Here is a 21,423-nt window from a genome sequence, read left to right as displayed (position 1 = left end):
GTTTCACCATGTTGACCAGGATGGTCTCGATCTCTTGATTTCGTGATCTGCCTGCCTCGGCCTCCCAAAGGGCTGGGATTACAGGCATGAGCCACCATGCTCAGCCCAAGGCTGTTATTTTTATTGTGCCATGGGTGGACATGTATGTACTATGCACGTGCTCAGATTATAATAATCACAGCTGGCATCTGGTGAATACTTCGTGCTAGGGTTTGCATGTTTCCTTTAAAACTCATGTTGAAATTCAATGGCCGTTGTGGTGAGATAGATATATATTATATTAAATATTATATATAATATTGTATTATATATAATTATATATAATAATATAATATATAATTATATATAATATATAAATACATATTTATATATTTAATATTTATATATTTATATATTTATTTTTTATATTATATATATAATATATAATATAATTATATATAATTTATATATATATATAATTTATATATATATAATTATATATATATAATTTAATATATATAAATATATATAATTATATATAATTATATAATAGTACAATTATATATACTGATATATTATATTATATATTATATAATTCTATATCTTTGTCCAAACTTATATATTATATAATTCTATATCTTTGTCCAAACTTATATATTATATATATTTTATATATATATAAATATATATATTTATATTATATAAATATATATATTTATATTATATAAATATATTTATATATTATATATATAATATATATATAATATATATAAATATATATAAATATAATATATATATAAATATATATAATATATATATAAATATGTATATTATATATATAAATATATATATTATATATATATATAATTTATATATATATTTATATATATATAAATTATATATATATAATTATATATATAATATATATAATTATATATAATTATATAATAGTACAATTATATATACTGATATATTATATTATATATTATATAATTCTATATCTTTGTCCAAACTTATATATTATATAATTCTATATCTTTGTCCAAACTTATATATTATATATATTTTATATAATATATAATATATGTTATATATATTATACGATATATATTTTATATATATATATTTTTTTTGAGATGGAGTCTACCCTGTTACCCAAGCTGGGGTGCAGTGGCATTTTCTTGGCTCACTGCAACCTCCACCTCCCGAGTTCAAGAGACTCTTCTGCCTCAGCCTCCCGAGTAGGTGGGATTACAGGCATGTGCCTCCATGCCCGGCTAATTTTTTTATTTTTAATAGAGATGGGGTTTTGCCATGTTGGCCTGGCTGGTCTCAAACTCCTGACCTCAGGTGATCTGCATTGGCCTCCCAAATTGCTAGGAGAACCTTTCAGCAGTGATGAGGTCATGAGGGCTTTGCCCTCATGAGTGGATTAATGCTGTGATCACAGGAGTGGGCTCTTGATAAAGGAATAAGGGTGGCCCTCTTCCCTCTCTTATGCTCCCTCTTTATGTGATAACTTCTGCCATCTTATCATGTAGCAAGAAGGCCCTCACCAGATGTGGCCCTTAGATCTTGGAATTTCCAGCCTCCAGAACTATGAGGCAAATAAATATCTTCTCTTTATAAATTACTCAGTCAGTGGCATTCTGTTGTAGCAGTAGAAAACAGATTAAGACACCTGGTATTAAGGGTTGAATTGTATAAAGATGTGTTGAAGTCCTAACCCCATCACTGGGAATGTGACCTTATTTGGAAATAGGGTCTTTGCAGATGTAATCAAGTTAAAATGAAGTTATTAGGGAGGGCTCTTAATCCAATATGACTATCAATCAGAAGAGAGAAGTTTGGGCTGGGTGCAGTGGCTCGTGCCTGTAATCCCAACACTTTGGGAGGCTAAGGTGGGCGGATCACCTGAGGTCGGGAGTTTGAGACCAGCCTTACCAACATGGTGAAACCCTGTCTCTACTAAAAATACAAAAATTAACCAGGCATGGTGGTGCACACCTGTAATCCCAGCTACTCGGGTGACTAAGGCATGAGAATTGCTTGAACCCGGGAGGTGGGGGTTGCAGTGAGCCGAGATTACACCACTGTACTCCAGCCTAGGCAACAGAGGAGACTCTGTCTCAAAGCAACAACAAAAAGAAACAACAGGCCGGGCGCGGTGGTTCACGCTTGTAATCCCAGCACTTTGGGAGGCCGAGGCGGGCGGATCACGAGGTCAGGAGATCGAGACCATCCTGGCTAACACGGTGAAACCCCGTCTCTACTAAAAATACAAAAAAATTAGCCGGGCGTGGTGGCGGGCGCCTGTAGTCCCAGCTACTCGGGAGGCTGAGGCAGGAGAATGGCGTGAACCTGGGAGGCGGAGCTTGCAGTGAGCCGAGATTGCGCCACTGCACTCCCACCTGGGCCACAGAGCGAGACTCCGTCTCAAAAAAAAAAAAAAAAAAAAAAAAAAAAAAGAAACAACAAAAGAAGCTATAGGGTTTTTGGGTGTGGCCCACATTGCGGATCATCCAGCCCTGGTCTAGGTGGGTGGCTTTAGCCTGAAGGAGCCATGGAAGTTTTAGGAGCTGGTGCACTCAGCTTTGGGAGAAAGTGAGGGCATAGAACGCTGGCCCCGTCTGAGTTTTGACTCTGGCTGGCCGTGTGAACACCACCTAGCACCCTAGGGCATTGTTGGGCCCATCAGCAAGAGAATGTTTTGTCAAGGTGGGGGTAGAACTGGATTTCCCACTACCTTGGGCCCATGAGGCTCATGGGACTTTGGAGAAGCCGCTCATTTTCACATTCTGTAATGTAAACAAGAATAATCTAGATTCATATATATTACCTCCTTTTATGTTGAGAACAACCCTATAGGATAAGTACTACTCTTGTTGCCATTTCCCAGATGAGGAAACTGAGGCACGGAGACGTGGAAGAACTTTCCCTAGGTCACTGTAAGCAGCATAAAGCATCGCTGTGTGCTGGGCCAGTGCCATTTCCGCGCCACCACCGAGACCCCACGGCACGCCTTGCTCACTGTGCAGGAGGCCGCAGTTGCCTTTAGGAGCATGAGGCACTGTGTGCTCCATCTCTGGGGTTCAGAGTGTGCGGTCATGTTATGCCTGCATTCGTATCAGAATGAGGCCCAGGAGGCTGATGGGTTGCAGATTTGCATGCAATGGCGCGATCTCGGCTCACTGCAACCTCCATCTGCCGGGTCCAAGCGGTTCTCCTGCCTCAACCTCCCGAGTAGCTGGGACTACAGGCTTGCACCAACCATGTCTGGCTCATTTTTCCATGTTTAGTGGAGATGGGGTTTCACCATGTTGCCCAGGCTGGTCTCAAAGTCCTGGCCTCAGGTGATCTGCCCGCCTCGGCCTCCCAAAGTGCTGGGATTACAGGTGTGAGCCACCGCGCTGGGCTGCATGAACCTCTTACATGCTTGCCTTCTCTGGAGGGCCTGGACTTTGAAGCTTCTTTCACTCCCAGCATCTTTCCCTACACAGGCCCTCTTCCCCACTATCTCTGGGGGAGGAGTCTGCAGGCCAGTTCTGCAATGTGCCGCCAGAGGGAGCTGCCCGCAGAGAAACGGGAGCGCCACACTCAGGCCCCAGGAAGGCAGCAAGCTGAGTTCCCCTGGCCTCAGTTCACTTTCCCTCTTGAAAGTCACCCAAACTCAAGCAAAAGCTCCGATTCAGGAATAAATGGGGTTGTTTTATCCCAGCCAAGGCCTGGGGAAGCTTGGTATTAAGAGCGTTTGTTCCATTCTTTTAAAAATGGAAAAGGGTCCGTCCTCTGGGTGCCCATGGCACCCTGGAAAGCAGGCAGAGTGCTGGTCACAGGCGGAGACTTTGAGATACCGAGACCGAGGCTGGAGTTTGGGCCCTGAAACTTTCTAACCAGGATGGCCTTGGGCAGAGCAGCCTGTGTTTAGAGCTTCCCATCTGTAATATAGCAGTGACAACCATGCCTGCTTTGCAGGGTTCCTGTTAGGATTAATTCTCTATAGAGCCCCCCAGAAGCCACTTTTGGATTTGAGATGGTTCAAGGCCAGACCTTGCATGACAAGAGTAGGGACAGCTTTCCACAGGCCTCAATAAAGTAGTATTCCCAGGCAGTTCTGCAACCCCAGCCTCATGCCCTTTGCACCTTCCTAAGAGGCTGCCTTGCCTCAGCTTTGGTCCCCATCCAAGACTCCTAAGAGCAAAGCCAGTTCTTTTCCTTTTTTTTCTTTCTTTAAGAGACGGTCTCACTCTGTCACCCAGGTTGAAGTGCAGTGGTGGGATCATAGTTCACTGCAGCCTCGAACTCCTGGGCTCAAGCAATCCTCCCGCTTCAGCCTCCCAAAATGCTGTAGGTCACAGGTATGACTCACCCACCCGGCCTAATTTTTATTATTATTTGTAGAGATGGGATGTCACTGTGTTGCCCACGCTCGAACTGCTGGGCTCAAGCAATCCTCCCTCCTCAGCCTCACTGGCAGCTGGGATTACGAGTCCCACCCAACCTGCTTCTCCTTTTGCAACCCCCAGACCCAGAGGCTCCAGAGCAGGCTCTGGAACAGAGGAAATCTGGCTCCGGCCCACACATTCACCAAATACTGACGCAGCACCCTTGACCTCCAGATGCCCCTGTGCTCTCTTCTGTGCCCAGGCTGCGGGGAGAGAGGGGTCCTCCAGGCCAAAGGGAGGGAGGTCTCCGGGAGGTCCCCGCGGTCCTGGAGGCAGGTGCGCGGGGCCCGGATGTGATCATGCGTGCGCGTGGGAGAAAGGCAGGGCTGGGCCTGCGGGAGCGCGGCCTTGCGGTTCCCAGGACTCTTCTCCGGGCGCCTCGTCTCCTTACGCCACCCGCAACCCAAGCCAGGGCCCCGGTGACAGCGGCGGGGTGGGCCAGGACCGGGGAGGGGGTGCCCAGCAGCGACCCCCGGCTCCCCCTAAGGCCGGGCGCAGCTCGGAGCCAGGAGCTGGCCCGGCGCGTGGCTTCCCGGAAGGCCCGGCGCAGCCGGAAGGTGGGACGGAGGGCGGGGCCAGCGCCGGGGCCGCCACCAAGGCCTGCGCGACCCTCCGCGGGGCTGGGGAGCTGGGCGGGGAGCCCGGGGCCTGCCAGGCCCGGGCTGCAGCCGCGTCTGATCGCCGAGCGCGCCGCGTAGACCTCCGCTCCCCCAGGTAAAGGAGCGCCCGGAGCCGGGGCGGGGCGCCTCCCAGGCCGCGCCCCGCGAGAGGAGGGGGCACCCCAAGAGCAGGCCTGGAGACCCGGGAGTGCCTTGGGGAGAGGGTCCCCGCCCTGCCGGGAGCCCGGCCCTCCCGGTGCCGGGGTGGACACTGTTAGTGTAGTCATTGTCCCTATGGAGAAACTGAGGCATGGAGAGGCTGAAGTCACACAAGTAAGCAGCAGAGCTGGGACTAGAGTCCCGGGCCCTGGCTCGCTGTCACCCAGGAGTGGCGTAGGCATGGGTGTGGTGGGTGGGGGTGGGGTGCGGGTGGTGGATGTGGTGGGAGTGGGTGAGGTTGGGTGGGGTGGGGATGTGGGTTTGGCGGGGGTGGGGTGCGGAATGTGATGGGTAGGGGTGGGGTAGAGTGGGGGTGGCTGGTGGGGCAGGGGCGGGGCTGGGGGTGGGGTGCTAGGTATTATAAATGTGAAGCGGATCCTGACAGGACACCTGTGGGGCAGCGGAGCTGGGCTGAGCCATATGGGAAGAAAATCTGGGCGCTAGTTTAGATTTGGTCAGGAAGGGTCGTTAATGCTTTAGGAGGTGAGATTAGTTTTGGGGATGGCAGGTAGTTTGTTGAGCTTTTGTTTAGACAGTCTTGCTCTGTTGTCCAGGCTGGAGTGCAATGGCGCGATCTCGGCTCACTGCAACCTCCACCTCCCTCGTTCAAGCAATTCCCCTGCCTCAGCCTCCCTAGTAGCTGGGATTACAGGCGACACCACCAAGCCTGGCTAATTTTTTTGTATTTTTAGTAGAGACGGAGTTTCACCATATCGGCCAGGCTAATCTCAAACTCCTGACCTTGCGATCCACCTGCCTCAGCCTTCTGCAATGCTGGGATTACAGACGTGAGCCACCCCGACCAATTTTTGTATTTTTTAGTAGAGACGGGGTTTCACCATCTTGGAATAGCACCTGTAGTTCCAGCTACTCGGGAGGCCGAGGCGGAAGAATTGCTTGAGGCCAGTTCCCGACCAGCCTAGGCAACACAGGGAGACTGCGTTTCTGGAAAAAACAACAACAACACCAGCAACAACAAAAAGCAGGAAGGAAGGGGAGAGGGAAAGAGAAAGAGAGAGAGAGAGAACGAAAGAGAAAGAGAAAAGGAAGGAAGGAAGGAAGGAAAGAAAGAAAAAAAGAAAGAGGGATACTTTGAGAAGCTTTGAAGTGATCTGTTTATTGATCAAGTAGATAGGTAAGGTGCATGCTGCCAGGAGGAGCTGGGGTAGGGAGGGCAGGGCCCTGCTGTATGGGGGTGGGCAGGGGACGGCCCCTGCTCAGCCCTGGCCTCCATTGCTACACAGAATGGCAGGTCCAATGTGATCTGGTCTTCTGATTTTTCAGGAGAAATCAGGAATCTGAGGTGCATGCAAAATCTCCTGATTTTTAAATATTGGCAACTAATTTGTTTTAAAAAAACAACAACTATGAGCTAATCCAAAACTGTTTGCTGGTGGGATCCACCTACTGCCTTTGCGCTGGGGTATGGAGAGGTGGGAGGTCAATGTTGACAAGAGCCAGATCTAATTTTTTGTTAAAGAAAAGGGTACTTGGAGGTCAGATAGCTCTCTTCATAGCTATCTGAAGCCTTCCTCTCCCTTATCTCTTACAATCTGGTCCAAACTCAGAAAGCTAGGCCGCTCTCGGTGAGATGGGCTTGTCTCCGTCTCTCTGTACCTGTCAGAGCAGCCTGGGCGCCTGCAAGAAACCGGGGCTTCCAGTTGGCATTTGCCTTCCCTGTGGCTGGCAGATGGGCTTCCTGTGATCAAGGCCTGGTATGTGGATAAATCTGAGTGTGAAATAGGTGTGATACAGTGGGGGAGGGGGAGCCACACTCCCACCCCCTAAGGTCTGTCCCCATCCTCCCTCCTCACCCACTTCCCTGTCATTTACAGACAAAGGCAGCCTTGCGGTGGGAGAAGGAGCAGGGTGGGCTTCCCTCTCAATCTGGTGAGCCTGGAGAATTCAGGAAGCTGAGCTTTTTAGCAAGGGCTCAGGAGATGGAGTTACTAACCTTTCTTCCCCAACAAGAGCCTGTTAATGCTCTAACTTCTGAAATGATTACTACAAAGAAATTGAACCTTGGATGGAGTCAGCCACAACATCTCTACCCGTGGTGCTGGACTATTAAAACACAGTGACTTCCTCTGCCTGCCCTCACACACGCAGTGATAGCTGCTGGCCCTCCCATTCTGCAGAACCCTGGGCTTGTGTCTCAGTGAAACCTGCCTCATTGTCTGAGATATCACTGAAGTTCTGGGTCTCATGGCCAAGGAAATCAAGGACGCAGACACTCCAGAGGGTAGGTTAGAGCAGAAGTTTAATAAGCAAAAGAAAGAAAGCTCTCTGGATCAGAGAGGGGTCCCAGAAAGATGGGTTGCCATTTTACAGTGAAATGCAAGGGTTTTTATAGAAAAGCTGGTGGGAGGGGTGCTTCATTTACATAAGGTGCGAATTTCTGAGTCCCCCGCCCCACTGTTTCTAGTGCACATGTGGGCTTCTTAGCCTGAGTTACTACTCCATGTTGCTTATTTCTTCCTACTGTGCATGTGTGAAAAAGGTTGGGTGGTGGGGGGGAAGAACACTCCAAGGTAGACATGCCTGGTCCAGGGTAGCTCTTCTTATCAGTGCCATGCAAGCCTCTGTGTCTGAGTATTTCTTTTTTCTTTTTTTTTTGAGACGGAGTCCCACTCTGCTGCCAGGCTGGAGTGCAGTGGTGTGATCTCAGCTCACTGCAACCTCCACCTCCCGGGTTCAAGTGGTTCTCCTGCCTCAGCCTCCCAAGTAGCTGGGATTACAGGCGAGCACCATGACACCTGGCTAATTTTTGTATTTTTTTAGTAGAGATGGGTTTTCACCATGTTGGCCAGGATAGTCTCGATCTCTTGACCTCGTGATCTGCCCACCTCGGCTTCCCAAAGTGCTGGGATTACAAGCGTGAGCCACCGTGGCCGGCCGTGTCTTGAGTATTTCTAAGAAGGGAGAGGACTGTGCTTACTGGGGCCCACCATATGTCTGTATGTCACACAGGGGACCCGCTTTCTGTGTTAGAGCTTGCCTTCCTTATCTGTGTTTCCTGAAAGGGCAACGACTTCTTAGGCTGCTTTTTGTTAGAAGGGAATTCTGCCAAGGACCCTTGCCCTAACTATTTGCCTAATTGATTTCTCTCTCTCCTCTCACATTGATGCTGGCCTGGCTGGAGCAGGTAGAGCTGGAAGTAGCATTTTTGCAAGGACATCTCTTTAGCCTCTGTAGATTTTCACCTCAAGTCATTCGGAGCAGGTCGGAAGCTAGGTTTTTTTTGGGGGGGGAAGCCAGTAGAGCTAAAGTGGTTATGTATCTGTTTCCTGCCTTCCTTCTTTCCACTTCTACATGCATTTTCTTGCTGTGCAGAAACTGTTTTGAGAGTGCAGACCCAAAACTGCAGAAAACCTGTTTTGGGAGTGGTGTCTGGGTGCTGGCCTGGAAGCCAGCCTTGCAGACCAAGCATGGCAGGGCTCAGGGTCTTCACGCCCGGGGAAAGGGAGGTTCCTTGCAGCCTCCAAAGGGGCCCTCCTGAGACCTGGGCAGTGCCTCTCTTTTTCCAATATAATTGACAGATGAAAAGCTGGATATAAACCAGAACTAAGCTCAAAGGTGATTAGATATTTTACACCAGGATTTTGAGCTTTTTGTAAGATTTTACTGTAAAATTATTTCCTTTGGTTACTTTAATATGTACTTCAAATATATCTCATTTTGTGCTGGACGTAGTGGCTCACGCCCATAATCCCAGCACTTTGAGAGGCCAAGGCAGGCAGATCACCTGAGGCCAGGAGTTCAAGACCAGCCTGGCCAACATGGTGAAACCCCATCTCTACTAAAAATACAAAAATTAGCCAGGTGTGGTGGTGCATGTCTGTAGTCCCAGCTATTCGGGAGGTTGAGGCAGGAGAATCGCTTGAACGTGGGAGGCGGAGGCTGCAGTGAGCCGAGATCGCGCCGCTACACTCCAGCCTAGGTGACGGAGCAGACTCTGTCTCAAAAAAAAAAAAAAAAAAAAAACCTCTCTGTATATCTCTATCTAGCTATCTATGTCATTTTGTTTGTGTGATAGCTTTTCAGGACCATGGTGACTGGATAAATCAGGTTCTGCGCTCCGTCTCCCCATTTCCAGGTGGCTTCTGCCTGTTCAGTCCTGACACTGTTATAATGCCATTTTATCGTTTAGACATTTGTATGTAAACAAATCTTGACCACTGGAATAGTGGAAGGGGGTTCTCTTCTGGGGAGAAGGAGGAGGCATTCAACCTGTCAGCAAGCAAAGGAGCTGGGCAGGGCCTGGAAAGCAGGAGACCAGGTTTTGGGAGACCCAGGGCACAGGGTAGCCAGAGCAGGGACCCCCAGGCCTGAGTGCTCCTCCAGTCCCTTATGTGAGCAGGGCTCACAAGGCCTGCCCTCCCACTGCCTCTCATACTCCATGGGGACAAAAAGACATATCTAGGGGTGCTTGTTTGCAATTTCTGAATTTGAAGACTGAGTAACGAATGTCAGAGTCCTGCGTTATGCCCTCTTGGGGTCTTGCTGCCCAAAGTGAGATCAGAGGAGCACTTTGGGGGCTTGTTGGAAATGCAGAATCTTACCCTCCCATACTGGCTGTATCTGACAAGGTTTTCAGTGATTCCCGTGCACTTGTGGAGAATCACAGGTCTAATGTGTACCAACGGGGAAAAAGAAGGGAAATTTACAGGGGCAGGAGCGCAGGATGCTCTCCTGGGACTGCAGAGAAGTTCTGAGGACCTGGCTTTGCGGTCCTCTCATGGATTCATGGGTTTGTTCTCTGGGCTCAAAATTATATCCCAGGATTGGGAGAGCAATTTTACAGTAGGGACTTCTGCTTCTGGATCATCCTTGGGTCAGAAAAGCACACATGTCTGGGTACGGTGGCCCACACCTGTAATCCCAGTACTCTGGGAGGCTGAGGCAGGAAGATTGCTTGAGCTCAGGAAGTCAAGACCAGGCTGGGCAACATTGCGAGACCCTGTCTCTATGAAAACAAAAAATTAGCTGAGCGTAGTGTTGCATGCCTTTAGCCCCAGCTACTCAGGAGACTGAGGTGGGGGGATCACTGTAGCCCAGGAGTTCAAGGCTGCAGTCAGCCATGATCGCACCACTGCACACCAGCTTGGGCAACAAGAGACACTGTCTCTTAAAAACAAACGAACAAACAAAACAAAAAAACCTCATAAAACATATAACCCAAAGATATTAAGGTCAAATGTAGTGGCTCACGCCTGTAATCCTAACACTTTGAGAGGCTAAGGCAGGAGGATCTCTTGAGCCCAGGAGTTCAAGACCAGCCTGGGCAACATAGTAGTCATCTCTACTAAAAATAAAAATAAAATTAGCTGGGCGTGGTGATTGCATACCTGTAGTCCCATCTACTCAAGAGGCTGAGGTGGGAGGATCGCTTGAGCCCAGGAGGTCAAGGCTGCAGTGAGTTGTGATCATGCCACTGCACTCCAGCCTGGGCAACAAAGCAAGACCCCATCTCAAAAAAAAAAAAAAAAAAGATAATAAGCAATAGAATCTATCCATAACTTCCTCAGTTGAATTGCTGTAGCACCTGTTTCAATATTTCCACCTAGAATGAAATGGGAAGTGCTGGTGAGAAAGGGAAGTACTGCTGGAGCCTTGGGCTCAGCCAGAGCTCTGAGGAGACCCCCCACCTCGTGGCCCCTTTGATTTTCTCAGCCTTTGGGCTCTCCAGAGCCCGTCTCTCCCTGCCCTGGCTCCAGCATGCCACACATTTTCCCTACCCTGGAGGATTGTGCTAAAGGTCATTGTGCTAAAGGTCTACTCGCCCGTCCGTCTGTCTATTCATATATATTGCAAAGCCTGGGAATGATTTCATGTATTTTTTCTCCAGTTGCTTTGTCTCCCTGCTTTATCTTTTCCCTGCTTTTAGTGTCCCATGGGTACAACTGTGTTGACTTTTAAGAACAGTTGCTTAAGGCAGCCCAGTGTGTGTGTTAGTAACAGTGTTCGTTCAGAGCCATCCTGGGTCGGGAGCCTGCAGGCTTCCAGACTTACGCCAGGCACTTCCTGCCCATCCTGCTGGCACTGTCTGAGAGTCCAGCCTGTAGGGACTGTCTCCGTCTTAGAAGGGAGGTATCTGACCCTCTGCTCAGGGCCCACTGCAGGTCAGTGCCCGTGTGGTCACAGGGTCCCATCCCTTCCCTGGCTCTGGCTTGGCCTCAGCTCAGATGCCTCACGCCGGGACTTCCCGTTCTCTGCTGGGCTTTGTGTGCAGGGCATTCCCCGGGCCAGTGCAAAGGCCACTAATGCCAGAAGGGTCAGACCACCTCCCTCGTGATGAACCAGCAGAACATGTGGCCGGGTTGCTCCTTAATCTGTCGTAAGTCAGAAGTTAATCAGAGGGCAAAGAAGACCTTTCATCCACTCAGCTGCTGCTATTTGCTTATTCACTAACTGCTGCCTGTCCTGTCTGTGGGAACTTTCCACCGTCTGGATGCTGTCTGTCATACAGGCGCTTGGAGCTGCTGAGCTTTCCTGAAAAGGGGGACCCTTCCTTAAAACTCTAGGAACTAGAGTGGCATTGTGATGGAAATACTCTTATGCTCATTGAAACTGTCCCTCTGAACTTCTCCCTCGAAGGCCCGCCACGATGACTATCATGGTGGAGGACATCATGAAGCTGCTGTGCTCCCTTTCTGGGGAGAGGAAGATGAAGGCGGCTGTCAAGCACTCTGGGAAGGGTGCCCTGGTCACAGGGGCCATGGCCTTCGTCGGGGGTTTGGTGGGCGGCCCACCGGGACTCGCCGTTGGTAAGTGCAGGTGTCTCACAGAGATAGCCAGCCTCGGGGATGTCATAAAAGGGCCGTTGAAACACAGGGAGAAGGCCAGGCACAGTGTGGCTCATGCCTGTAATCCCAGCACTTTGGGAGGCCGAGGCGGGCGGATCACCTGAGGTCAGGAGTTTGAGACTAGCCTGGCCAACATGGTGAAACCCCGTCTCTACTAAAAATACAAAAAATAGCTGGGCGTGGTGGCGGGTGTCTGGTGTATGTAATCCCAGCTACTCGGGAGGCTGAGGCAGGAGAATCGCTTAAACCCGGGAGGCAAAGATTGCAGTGAGCCAAGATCATGCCATTGTACTCCAGCCTGGGTGACAGAACGAGACTCTATCTCAAAGAAAAAAAAAAAAAAGGAAAAAGAAAAAAGAAAAGAAACACAGGGAGAAATGAACTTGTACAAGTGGTGCCATGCGTCTTGTGGGAGGAGTTGGTGGAGTTAAAGATGCCTCTGGGAAATGATCTTTGTAGATATAATTTGCCCCATTGGAAATGCAGGCTTCTGTGTGAATGTCTCAGAAGTGTGGGGTACTCTTGTAAATGGCATCTGTGTCATTTGGGCCTAGAGGCATCTTTCCCCCAGTGCTGGGATCCCAGAATAAGTATCAGAGCAGCAGGCCTCTGAAGATACCAGGGTGTCCTGGGTCCCATGGTGGCCTTCATGACTGTGAGGTCCCTGCAGAAAGGAAACCAGGGAGGAGGCTGGGAGGAGCCATGCACCTTCTCAGCACATATGGTGTGGCCATTTCATGTGAGCCAGCTCACTCTGAGAGAGCTCCCTTGTTCTGAAAGAGACCACCAAAAGAACTGCCTTTCACCCTTAGAGGGCCTGCCCACCTCCTTTACCACCTGCTTTTTTCTTTCCTTTTTGAGACCGAGTCTCATTCTGTCGCCCACACTGGAGTGCAGTGGCATGATCTCGGCTCACCGCAACCACTGCCTTGTGGGTTCAAGTGATTCTCCTGCCTCAGCCTCCTGAGTAGCTGGGACTACGGGTGTGTGCCACCACACCCGGCTAATTTTTGTATTTTTAGTAGAGACAGGGTTTTGTCCTTTTGGCCAGGCTGGTCTCAAACTCCTGGCCACAAGCGATCCACCCGCCTGGGCCTCCCGAAGTGCTAGGATTACAGGCGTGAGCCACTGTGCCTGGCCATTTACCACCTGCTTCTATTTGAGAATCAATTTCAGGCAATGAATGAAAGTTTGGCTAATTTTTCCACTGTTCCTTGGAGCTGGGATGAAGTTACTTTCTTTGGCTTGGGGAAGGAAGAATTCCTGTGTCCTGAGCCTCAGAAGGTCTACCTGGCCTGGGGCTGTGGCCCAAACCATAGATGGAGTCAGAGAGCTGAACTTTTCTGCTGAGGTTGGCTTCCGTTCCCCAGCTCGCTGGCCGGGTTCCTGCCCTGTTCTTCCCTTCTGTAGTGGGATTGACATTCAAGGACATTTCGTTAAGCTGAGGCTCACACTGAGGAGAAAAATAAATGTGTGGGTGGCCCCAGACCTTCCCTTTCCATATTTTCCTTTCCAAACTCCATGAATTAGTGAGGCCTGACTTCAGCATCTTGCCATCCGGGAAGGAACCGGAGATGGGGGAGACAAGGCTGTTTCCTTCTTCCTCGATGACACTGTGCATCTGTGCCCCCACCTCCATCTCAGTGCTCAGGGGAAGGCTTTGGGGATCATTTTGTCATATAGCTGTGCCCAGATGCTATTTTGGGAGCACATATTTTATTCAGATTGAGTAAAAGCTGGTAGAGAACAGGATGTCCACTAAGAGAGCCCGGGGGATTCACTACTTCCAGTCCCTGGTCATGGGCGGGAGCATCATTTTACCCTGAAAACAAAGGAATTTTCTCCTCTCCAAAGAGCCAGTAATTTGCTGGTCGATATTCCTGGCGACTTTTTGCATTAAGTGCTGCTCTAAATCAAATATTGATGTTCTCATAAAGGTTTAGTGCACATGAGTGCAACTCTTGTCGACTTGGAGCATTTCACTGGTGTCATGGGGAAAAGTTCAGTAAAACTTGTAAATTAGCTGGTTTTCCCTTCCCAGAATGTGCCTTTCTTTTGCAGAGGAGGTGAACCCTGTCTGCGTGTGGCATTCAGCCTCTGGGATATGGGGCTGGCCCCAGCTCAGTACCCGGGGTGGTGTCTGCTCCAGGGGCCTCGGTGCTTGGCTTCCAGAAGAAGCAAGCGCTGGTTTTGCTGCCTGTTGTCTGAGTCCAGCCTGCCAGTGGGTTCTCTCTGGCCTGGGTTGCATTTTTGAAAGAAACTTTTCATTTCCCAATAATATTAGGTTTACAGAGAAGTCGTGAAGATAGTACAAAGGATTCCTGTATATCTTCCATCCAGTTTCGGTTCTCCTAGCGATCACATGTATTACTGTATGCTTGTCAAAACTAAAATGGGCTGGGTGCAGTGGCGCATGCCTCTGTAGTCTCAGCACTTTGGGAGGCTTGAGGCTGAAAGATTGCTTGAGCCCAGCAGTTCGAGACCGGACTGGGCAACATAATGAGACCCCGTCTCTACGAAAAATAATAAAAAAAAAATTAGCCAGGCATGGTGGTTCATGCCTGTAATCCCAGCTACTTAGGAGGCCAAGGTGGGAGGATTGCTTGAGCCTAAGAGTTTGAGGCTGCAGTGAGGTATGATCACACCACTGCACTCCAACCTGGGCAACAGAGTGAGATTCTGTCTAAGGAAAAAAAAAAAAAAACCTAAGAAACCAACACCAACGAATACATTACTATTAACCATTCTCCAGACTTGATTTGGGTTTCACCAGTTTCTGCATTAATGGCCTTTTTTTTTTTTTTTTTTTTTTGGTTTCAGGATCCAGTCTAAGACACCGCATTGCATTGAATCGCCTGCTTTCTTAGTCTCCTCTGGCCTTTAACACTTTCTCAGACTTGCCTTGTTCACAGCCTTGATAGTTTTGAGGAGTACTGGGCAGGTATTTCGTAGAACATCTCTCAGTTTGAATTTGCCAGTTGTGTTTAGGATGGGACTGGAGTTAGGAGTCTTTGGGAGGCATGCCTGGGAGGTGACATGCCCCTCTCCCTTGTCTTGCATTAATTCTGGGGGTGTGTGATATTCACATGACGTCAGTGATATTCACCTTGAACACTTGGTTAAGGGCATGTTTGCTGGGTTTTTCCACTGCAAAGTTTCTGTTTCCCTTTCCATACTCTGTCTGTTGAAAGTGAGTCACTAAGTCTAGTGGGCTTCATCTTTAAATATCTGATTGGTGATATTTAAAAATCGTGAGATGTTTTAAAGCTACAAATCTGGTATTTTGTGTGGTAGCAATGAACTGGCGTGAAGTAGCCACTGCCACTCCATAGGAACCAAGCTGTCCAGCTCTTCTGTGTCCTGGGCCTCGGAAGGTCCATGCGATTCAAGGCTTGGTTGGCCCAGACTATAGACTGGGATGAAGTCAGAGCCTGCCACCCATCCAATCTCAGCAGGGGAGAGGCCGGGTAAGGCCCAACCGCCCCTTCACTCTTCTTAGTTCCTCCCTGGCTCTTGGAGGCACTTGACTTTGGACCCCTTCCCTAGGGCACCTTCCGCTTCTCTGCACCATATTCTGCACGTGGCCTCTTCAGGTAGAACTTTCCGTGGATACAAGGTCTTTAAGTCCCAGAATAGCATGACATAGCCTTGGCAATGAGTTTACATTTAACAATAATGTTTCTGCCCTTTTAGGGTGGCAGAAGTAGAAATAGTAAGCTACCTTACATTTGATATTTATTTTTATTTTTTTGAGATGGAGTCTCACTCTGTCGCCCAGGCTGGAGTGCAGTGGCACAGTCTTGGCTCACTGCAACCTCTGCCTCCCGGGTTCAAGTGATTCTCCTGCCTCAGCCAGTAGCTGGGATTACAGGCACCCACCACTATGCCTGGCTAATTTTTTGTATTTTTAGTAGAGACAGGGTTTCACCATGTTGGCCAGGCTAGTCTCCAACTCCTGACCTCGTGATTCGCCCACCTCGGCCTCTCAAAGTGCTGGGATTACAGGCGTGAGCCACTGCGCCCGGCCAGTTTGTTATTTATCGATCATACAACTTGGAGGGGATCTATGAAAAGCACTGCTTCAAGAGGAAAGAGCCTCCTTATCTGTCCCCAGGTCCTTTAACCACATGGGCTCACTGAAGATTTTCTAAGTTCAGGGGCAAGGAGCATATCAGCTGCCTGGTGGAGGAAATTCAGTCTCACCACTGAGATGGTTTCTTTTTTGGAGACAGAGTCTTGCTCTGTCACCCAGGCTGGAGTGCAAGGGTATGATCTCGGCTCACTGCAACCTCTACTTCCCGGGTTCAAGTGATTCTCCTGCCTCAGCTTCCAAGTATCTGGGATTACAGGCATGTGCCCCCAAGCCCAGCTAATTTTTGTATTTTTAGTAGAGATGGTGTTTCACCATGTCGGCCAGGCTGGTGTCGAACTCCTGACCTCAGGTGATCCACCTGCCCTGGCCTCCCAAATTGCTGATATTACAGGCATGAGCCACCGCACCCAGCCTGAGATGGTTTCTCTTGAAAATGCATTTGTGGCTGGTTGTGGTGGCTCATGCCTATAATCCCAGCACTTTGCGGGGCCGAGGTAGGCGGATCACCTGAGGTCAGGAGTTCAAGACCAGCCTGCCAACATGGTGAAACCCTGTTTCTACAAAAATACAAAAATTAGCCAGGTGTGGTGGTGTGCGCCTGTAATCCCAGCTACTTGGGAGGCTGAGGTGGGAGAATCGCTTGAACCTGGGAGGCAGAGGTTGCAGCGAGCCAAGATCATGCCATTGCACTCCAGCCTGGGCAACAGAGCAAGACTCCGTCTCAAAAAAAAAAAAAAAAAAAAGAAAAGAAAAAGAAAATGCATTTGTTTCTCAGCCTTCTCCTTTGTGATTAGAGAGGGATTTTTACAGTAAGCCCAGAAACCTCCGTCAGCTCATGAAGAAGAAAGTGGGCCCAGCACTGAGGTGGGAGATGGGGCAGGCAGGCTTCATTTTGCATCCTTAAATGTGGAGCCCAGGGAATGCATGTTGGGTGTCAATTATCTGAGCCAAATGGACAGAAGACTGCATAAACCTTTGCCCTCCACACTGGCTGGCGGAGCAGGCGTGGCACCGGCTGAGCCCGCTGCAGCCCGCTCATGAATGTGCCTGCTCATGGTGATGGTGGTGTGCACTCAGTGGGAACTTAAGTAAGGCCATCGCTTATGAATAAGACCCACTAATTGAACGATTCCATGTTTTCTAGGGGGGGCTGTCGGGGGGCTGTTAGGTGCCTGGATGACAAGTGGACAGTTTAAGCCGGTTCCTCAGATCCTAATGGAGCTGCCCCCTGCCGAGCAACAGAGGCTCTTTAACGAAGCCGCAGCCATCATCAGGCACCTGGAGTGGACGGACGCCGTGCAGCTGACCGCGCTGGTCATGGGCAGCGAGGCCCTGCAGCAGCAGCTGCTGGCCATGCTGGTGAACTACGTCACCAAGGAGCTGCGGGCCGAGATCCAGTATGATGACTAGGCCGCACCTCCGGGGAGGTGGGGGGCCCCTTTAAATGACTCTGTGATTCTGAAGAGGTGGCTTGGGAGTTGGGAGAAGCCCAGCGGATGCCCCCTGGGGAATCTCCACATCATCAGTGTATTACTAGTAATGTCCCGCTGGAGAGGCCACCGCTGTGCAGTGTCATGTTCCAGAAATTACTGATGAAGCAGCATGTGTTGGTGGCATGTGCACTGGCCTGCCATGACAGCCCTCTGACTGGCCCCCCAGTGAAGAGTAAAGGCCTGCCTGCCGCAGGCTTCGGAGGCGTCTGCTGAGTCCTCTCACCCGCATGGGTCTGGGGAAGTGATCACGCTCAGCCGACGGTCTGACCACACTTCATCCTCCCCCCGGGGCCTTCTCATCTTGGGAGATGACTCCTCTTCAGAGCACCTGCTGCAGGACTGGATCCCACCCCCCTGCAGGTCCTGGGGTCTCAGGGCCTTGGAGCAGCCCATGCTGGAATCATGTTTACCTCCTAGTGCAACCGTCCCCTACCCAGGGACTGTCGAATGGCCCCACGGAGGGGACGGGCGGCCTGCTGAGTGAAGCCACAAATACCGAGTGGACTTGACCCCGGCCCCCACTAGGCTGCACACCTAGACTCGCCCTGCCAGGGCCTCGCTCTTCCCATCTGAAAAGTCCTGGTAGTTCTTGAGGTTTACTTCTCAAATGAAATATTTTTAGTAAAAAGTACAGGTATATCTCGGAGATATTGTGGGTTCAGTTCCAGACCACCTCGGTAAAGCCAACATCACAATAAAGCAAGGAAGCGCATTGTTTTAGTTTCCCAGTGCATCTAAGTCATGTTTACTGCATATTGCAGTCCACTAAATGTGCAATAGCATTATGTCTAACAAATGTACAAACCTTAATTTAAAAATATTTACTGTTCAAAATGCTGACACAGAAACGCAAAGTGAGCACATGCTGTTGGAAAATGGTGCCAAATAGACTTGCCTGATGCCAGGCTGCTACAAACCTTCAATTTAAAAAAAAAACACAGTATTCACAAAGCATAGTAGAATGAGGTATGCCTGTATTGCTCTTTCTGAAGTGGTGTGATATAAACCATCTCTAAGAAATGTTTCTACCCTAAAGATTTCCCCAGTACAGTCAGCTCTCCGTAACTGTGGTCTCCACATTTAGATCCAACCAGCCTTGGATAGGAAATATTTGAAAAAAGAAATTGCATTGGTACTGAACACGTACAGACCTTTTTTTCTTGCCATTATTCCCTAAACAATATGGTGTAGCATATTTACATAGCATTTATATTGTATTTGGTATTATAAGAAATCTAGAGATGATTTAAATTATACAGGAAGGTGTGCGTAGGTTACGTGCAAACGCTATGCCATTGCCCATCAGGGACTTGAGCATCCTCAGATGTCGGTGTCTGAGGGTTGAGGTTGCAGTCCTGGAACCCATCCCCCATGGATACTGAGGCATAGCTGTACTGTGTGTTTTCACTTTGCTTTCAGAACTACGACTTGAATGTGATCGATTACAATAAATGTTTTTCTAAAAAGCCATTTTCCCACATATTATGTGTAAAATATCTCTAATATTCAAAGTCTTACAAATGGAACAAGAGGGAAGGTACCAGATTTGTGGCTTTAAAGAATGCAAGAGTAGGTCAGGTGAGGTGGCTCATGCTTGTAATGTCGGCACTTTTGGAGGCCAAAGTGGGAGGATCGCTTGAGGCCAAGAGTTTGAAACTAGCCTGGGCAATATAGTGAGACCTCCATCTCTACAAAAAATGTTATTCCTTGGTCCCCAGGTCCTGGGGCAGGGCAGGGACTTGGGGCTCTCCTCTCAGGCCCTGGAGGCTCGGAGGGAGGCACTTCTGCTGAGGCCCTGCTTATAGGAAAGCTCAGTATCCTGGCACCTCCATGTGTGTAAGGACGTCAGGGTGAATTATAACCCATGGTGATTAAGGAAGGGCCGAGCCTTTCTCTTGCAGAGCGATTGCTCTTCTGCTGGCCTCGTCTAGCACAAATCAGGTGCCCTAGCACAGGCCACACTCCTGGAGTTAATGAAGCCACTTTAATCATTTATATGCCACTTAAGTTGATGGGGGACAGGGCAGGGGTGGGAAGGAGGGGTTGTCTGTCTGTGAAAACTGAGTGTGGCTTTTCTTGTTGAACTGATCATTCCTGCTCTTCCTGCAAATAAGTCCTGCATACGGACCCTGGAACTAAAAATGGAAAATCAGAGCATGCCCCCTCCCAATTTTGTATAGCTTTAGTGGGCTCTAAAGTTGCCCGTTTTTAGTGTGAAGGAAAAAACGTTGATTTGCAGATATCGTGAGAATGAAACCTCAACAAAGATGTTTGGTTCAGTGCTTCAAAGTTGGGGGACACTTTTTCCATGTTGAACAAATGCCAACTTCTCCGGTTGCTTACAGCAAATCCTTCTGGAACAATCGGGGCTGAAATTGAGTTGCCTTTGTTAGGCGATTGGGCCCCATTCATTCTTACTCGTGCATCAGGTCCTGGTCTGTGTCAGGCCCAGGGGACACAGGTGGTCCCAGCTCAGAGGCCCAGTGTCCACTGCAGCCCCTCCCACAGCCTGCCCACCCCTACTGCAGGGAAAAATGCCCAGGGAGGAGATGGTCCAACTCCTGATCAGTTTTGTGTCCGATGGAGCAGGCCTTGCTGAGTGAAGACACTGGAACTAGCTGGGTCCTGGGGTGACTTGGAGGCTTTGGGCCTAAAAGGGCAGCCTGAACCTGGAGTCTTATCTCCCCCAGGAGCCGAAAGCACTTTTCTTGATTTCCCCCAGGAAATCAAGCGCTGCTTCTCAGCTCCTGTGGTTTTAGTATTTATATATCTGTATCTTCTTTGTAGAAATTTATTTATTTTTGAATAAGTAATACCTGCCTGGTACAAAATTTAAAAGGTACGGGAGGGCGCAAGCTGCAAGGGAAGGCCTGCTCCTATGCCGACCCCAGAGGCAGCCACTGTTACCAATTTCATGTGTATTCCTTTAACTCTGTTTTAAAGTAAGTCTCTGAAAACTGTTCATTTCCTTTTGTCAGTATTTGTTGCTGAAAACCTAGAAAAACCCAGAAAATATAATGAAATAAAAACTACAAATTTCACAACCCAGAAAACTGCTGGTAACAGATTTGGTGTCTTTCCTGCAATTGTTTTAATGCTATGTAGGTACACATATATTTTTTTCTTTTTTTCTTTTTTTTTTTTTTGAGATGGAGTCTCGCACTGTCGCCCGGGCTGGAGTGCAGTAGCGCGATCTTGGTTCACTGCAAGCTCTGCCTCCTGGGTTCAAGCCATTCTCCTGCCTCAGCCTCCCGAGTAGCTTTGACTACAGTCGCCCGCCACCATGCCCGGCTAATTTTTATTTTTTTATTTTTTTTTTATTTTTAGTAGAGACGGGGTTTCACCATGTTAGCCAGGATGGTCTCAATCTCCTTACCTCGTGATCTGCCCACCTCAGCCTCCCAAAGTGCTGGGATTACAGGCGTGAGCCACTGCGCCCGGCCTATGTATGTATATTTCTAACGTACTTGCCTTCTTATCCTATATGCCCCTTTGAACACCTGTATCAATGAATGTTAAATAATATTTTTGATGTAATTTAAAATTCCTTGTAAATATTTGTAATGGCTGCATAATATTCCACTGTGCCTAACCATGTGCCTGGTGTGAATTCCATTTGTGGATTTTTACTACTGTAATGCTGAAGTATTACAGTAATACTGTGTTAATATTCTCTTTATTGAATTCTGGTATATAGTCTTTGGGATTCATTCCTCAAAGTGAAATTGCTGGATTTAAAAGTACGCAGCTTTTTTTTTTTTTTTTTTTTTTTTTTTTGAGACGGAGTCT

The 21,423-nt window shown here is 48.6% G+C and overlaps 1 protein-coding gene across 11 annotated transcripts, besides 4 other annotated features; it reads left to right on the top strand.

Annotated features, from left to right (window-relative positions):
- Positions 3,643 to 3,862: an enhancer, noted in NCBI's record as "active region_14418". NCBI's record gives its function as "activates an Ori minimal core promoter by ATAC-STARR-seq in GM12878 lymphoblastoid cells {active_cell/tissue: GM12878}" and the evidence as "EXISTENCE:reporter gene assay evidence [ECO:0000049][PMID:35858748]".
- Positions 4,408 to 4,507: an enhancer, noted in NCBI's record as "active region_14417". NCBI's record gives its function as "activates an Ori minimal core promoter by ATAC-STARR-seq in GM12878 lymphoblastoid cells {active_cell/tissue: GM12878}" and the evidence as "EXISTENCE:reporter gene assay evidence [ECO:0000049][PMID:35858748]".
- Positions 4,474 to 21,377, top strand: C19orf12 (chromosome 19 open reading frame 12). Of its 11 annotated transcripts, none has more exons than NM_001256046.3 (4): positions 5,002 to 5,138; positions 11,840 to 12,009; positions 17,286 to 17,415; positions 17,471 to 21,326. In NM_001256046.3, exons 2-4 carry the CDS (start codon positions 11,850 to 11,852, stop codon positions 17,502 to 17,504), a joined length of 324 nt encoding a protein of 107 aa, NP_001242975.1. In that variant the 5' UTR covers positions 5,002 to 5,138; positions 11,840 to 11,849; the 3' UTR covers positions 17,505 to 21,326. The 11 variants fall into 11 exon arrangements, with proteins under 11 accessions (NP_001242976.1, NP_001242975.1, NP_001269860.1 ...); NM_001282931.3 differs by adding an exon at positions 14,869 to 14,989 and having other exon boundaries at positions 17,286 to 21,326; XM_047439496.1 differs by lacking the exon at positions 5,002 to 5,138 and adding exons at positions 5,631 to 6,957; positions 7,078 to 11,579 and having other exon boundaries at positions 17,286 to 21,377.
- Positions 4,678 to 5,467: a silencer, noted in NCBI's record as "silent region_10465". NCBI's record gives its function as "represses an Ori minimal core promoter by ATAC-STARR-seq in GM12878 lymphoblastoid cells {active_cell/tissue: GM12878}" and the evidence as "EXISTENCE:reporter gene assay evidence [ECO:0000049][PMID:35858748]".
- Positions 14,850 to 15,299: an enhancer, noted in NCBI's record as "active region_14416". NCBI's record gives its function as "activates an Ori minimal core promoter by ATAC-STARR-seq in GM12878 lymphoblastoid cells {active_cell/tissue: GM12878}" and the evidence as "EXISTENCE:reporter gene assay evidence [ECO:0000049][PMID:35858748]".

The sequence above is a fragment of the Homo sapiens genome, chromosome 19, assembly GCF_000001405.40.
Source record: "Homo sapiens chromosome 19, GRCh38.p14 Primary Assembly".
Taxonomy (NCBI): Eukaryota; Metazoa; Chordata; class Mammalia; order Primates; family Hominidae; genus Homo; species Homo sapiens.
This window is presented reverse-complemented; position numbering and strand designations above follow the sequence as displayed.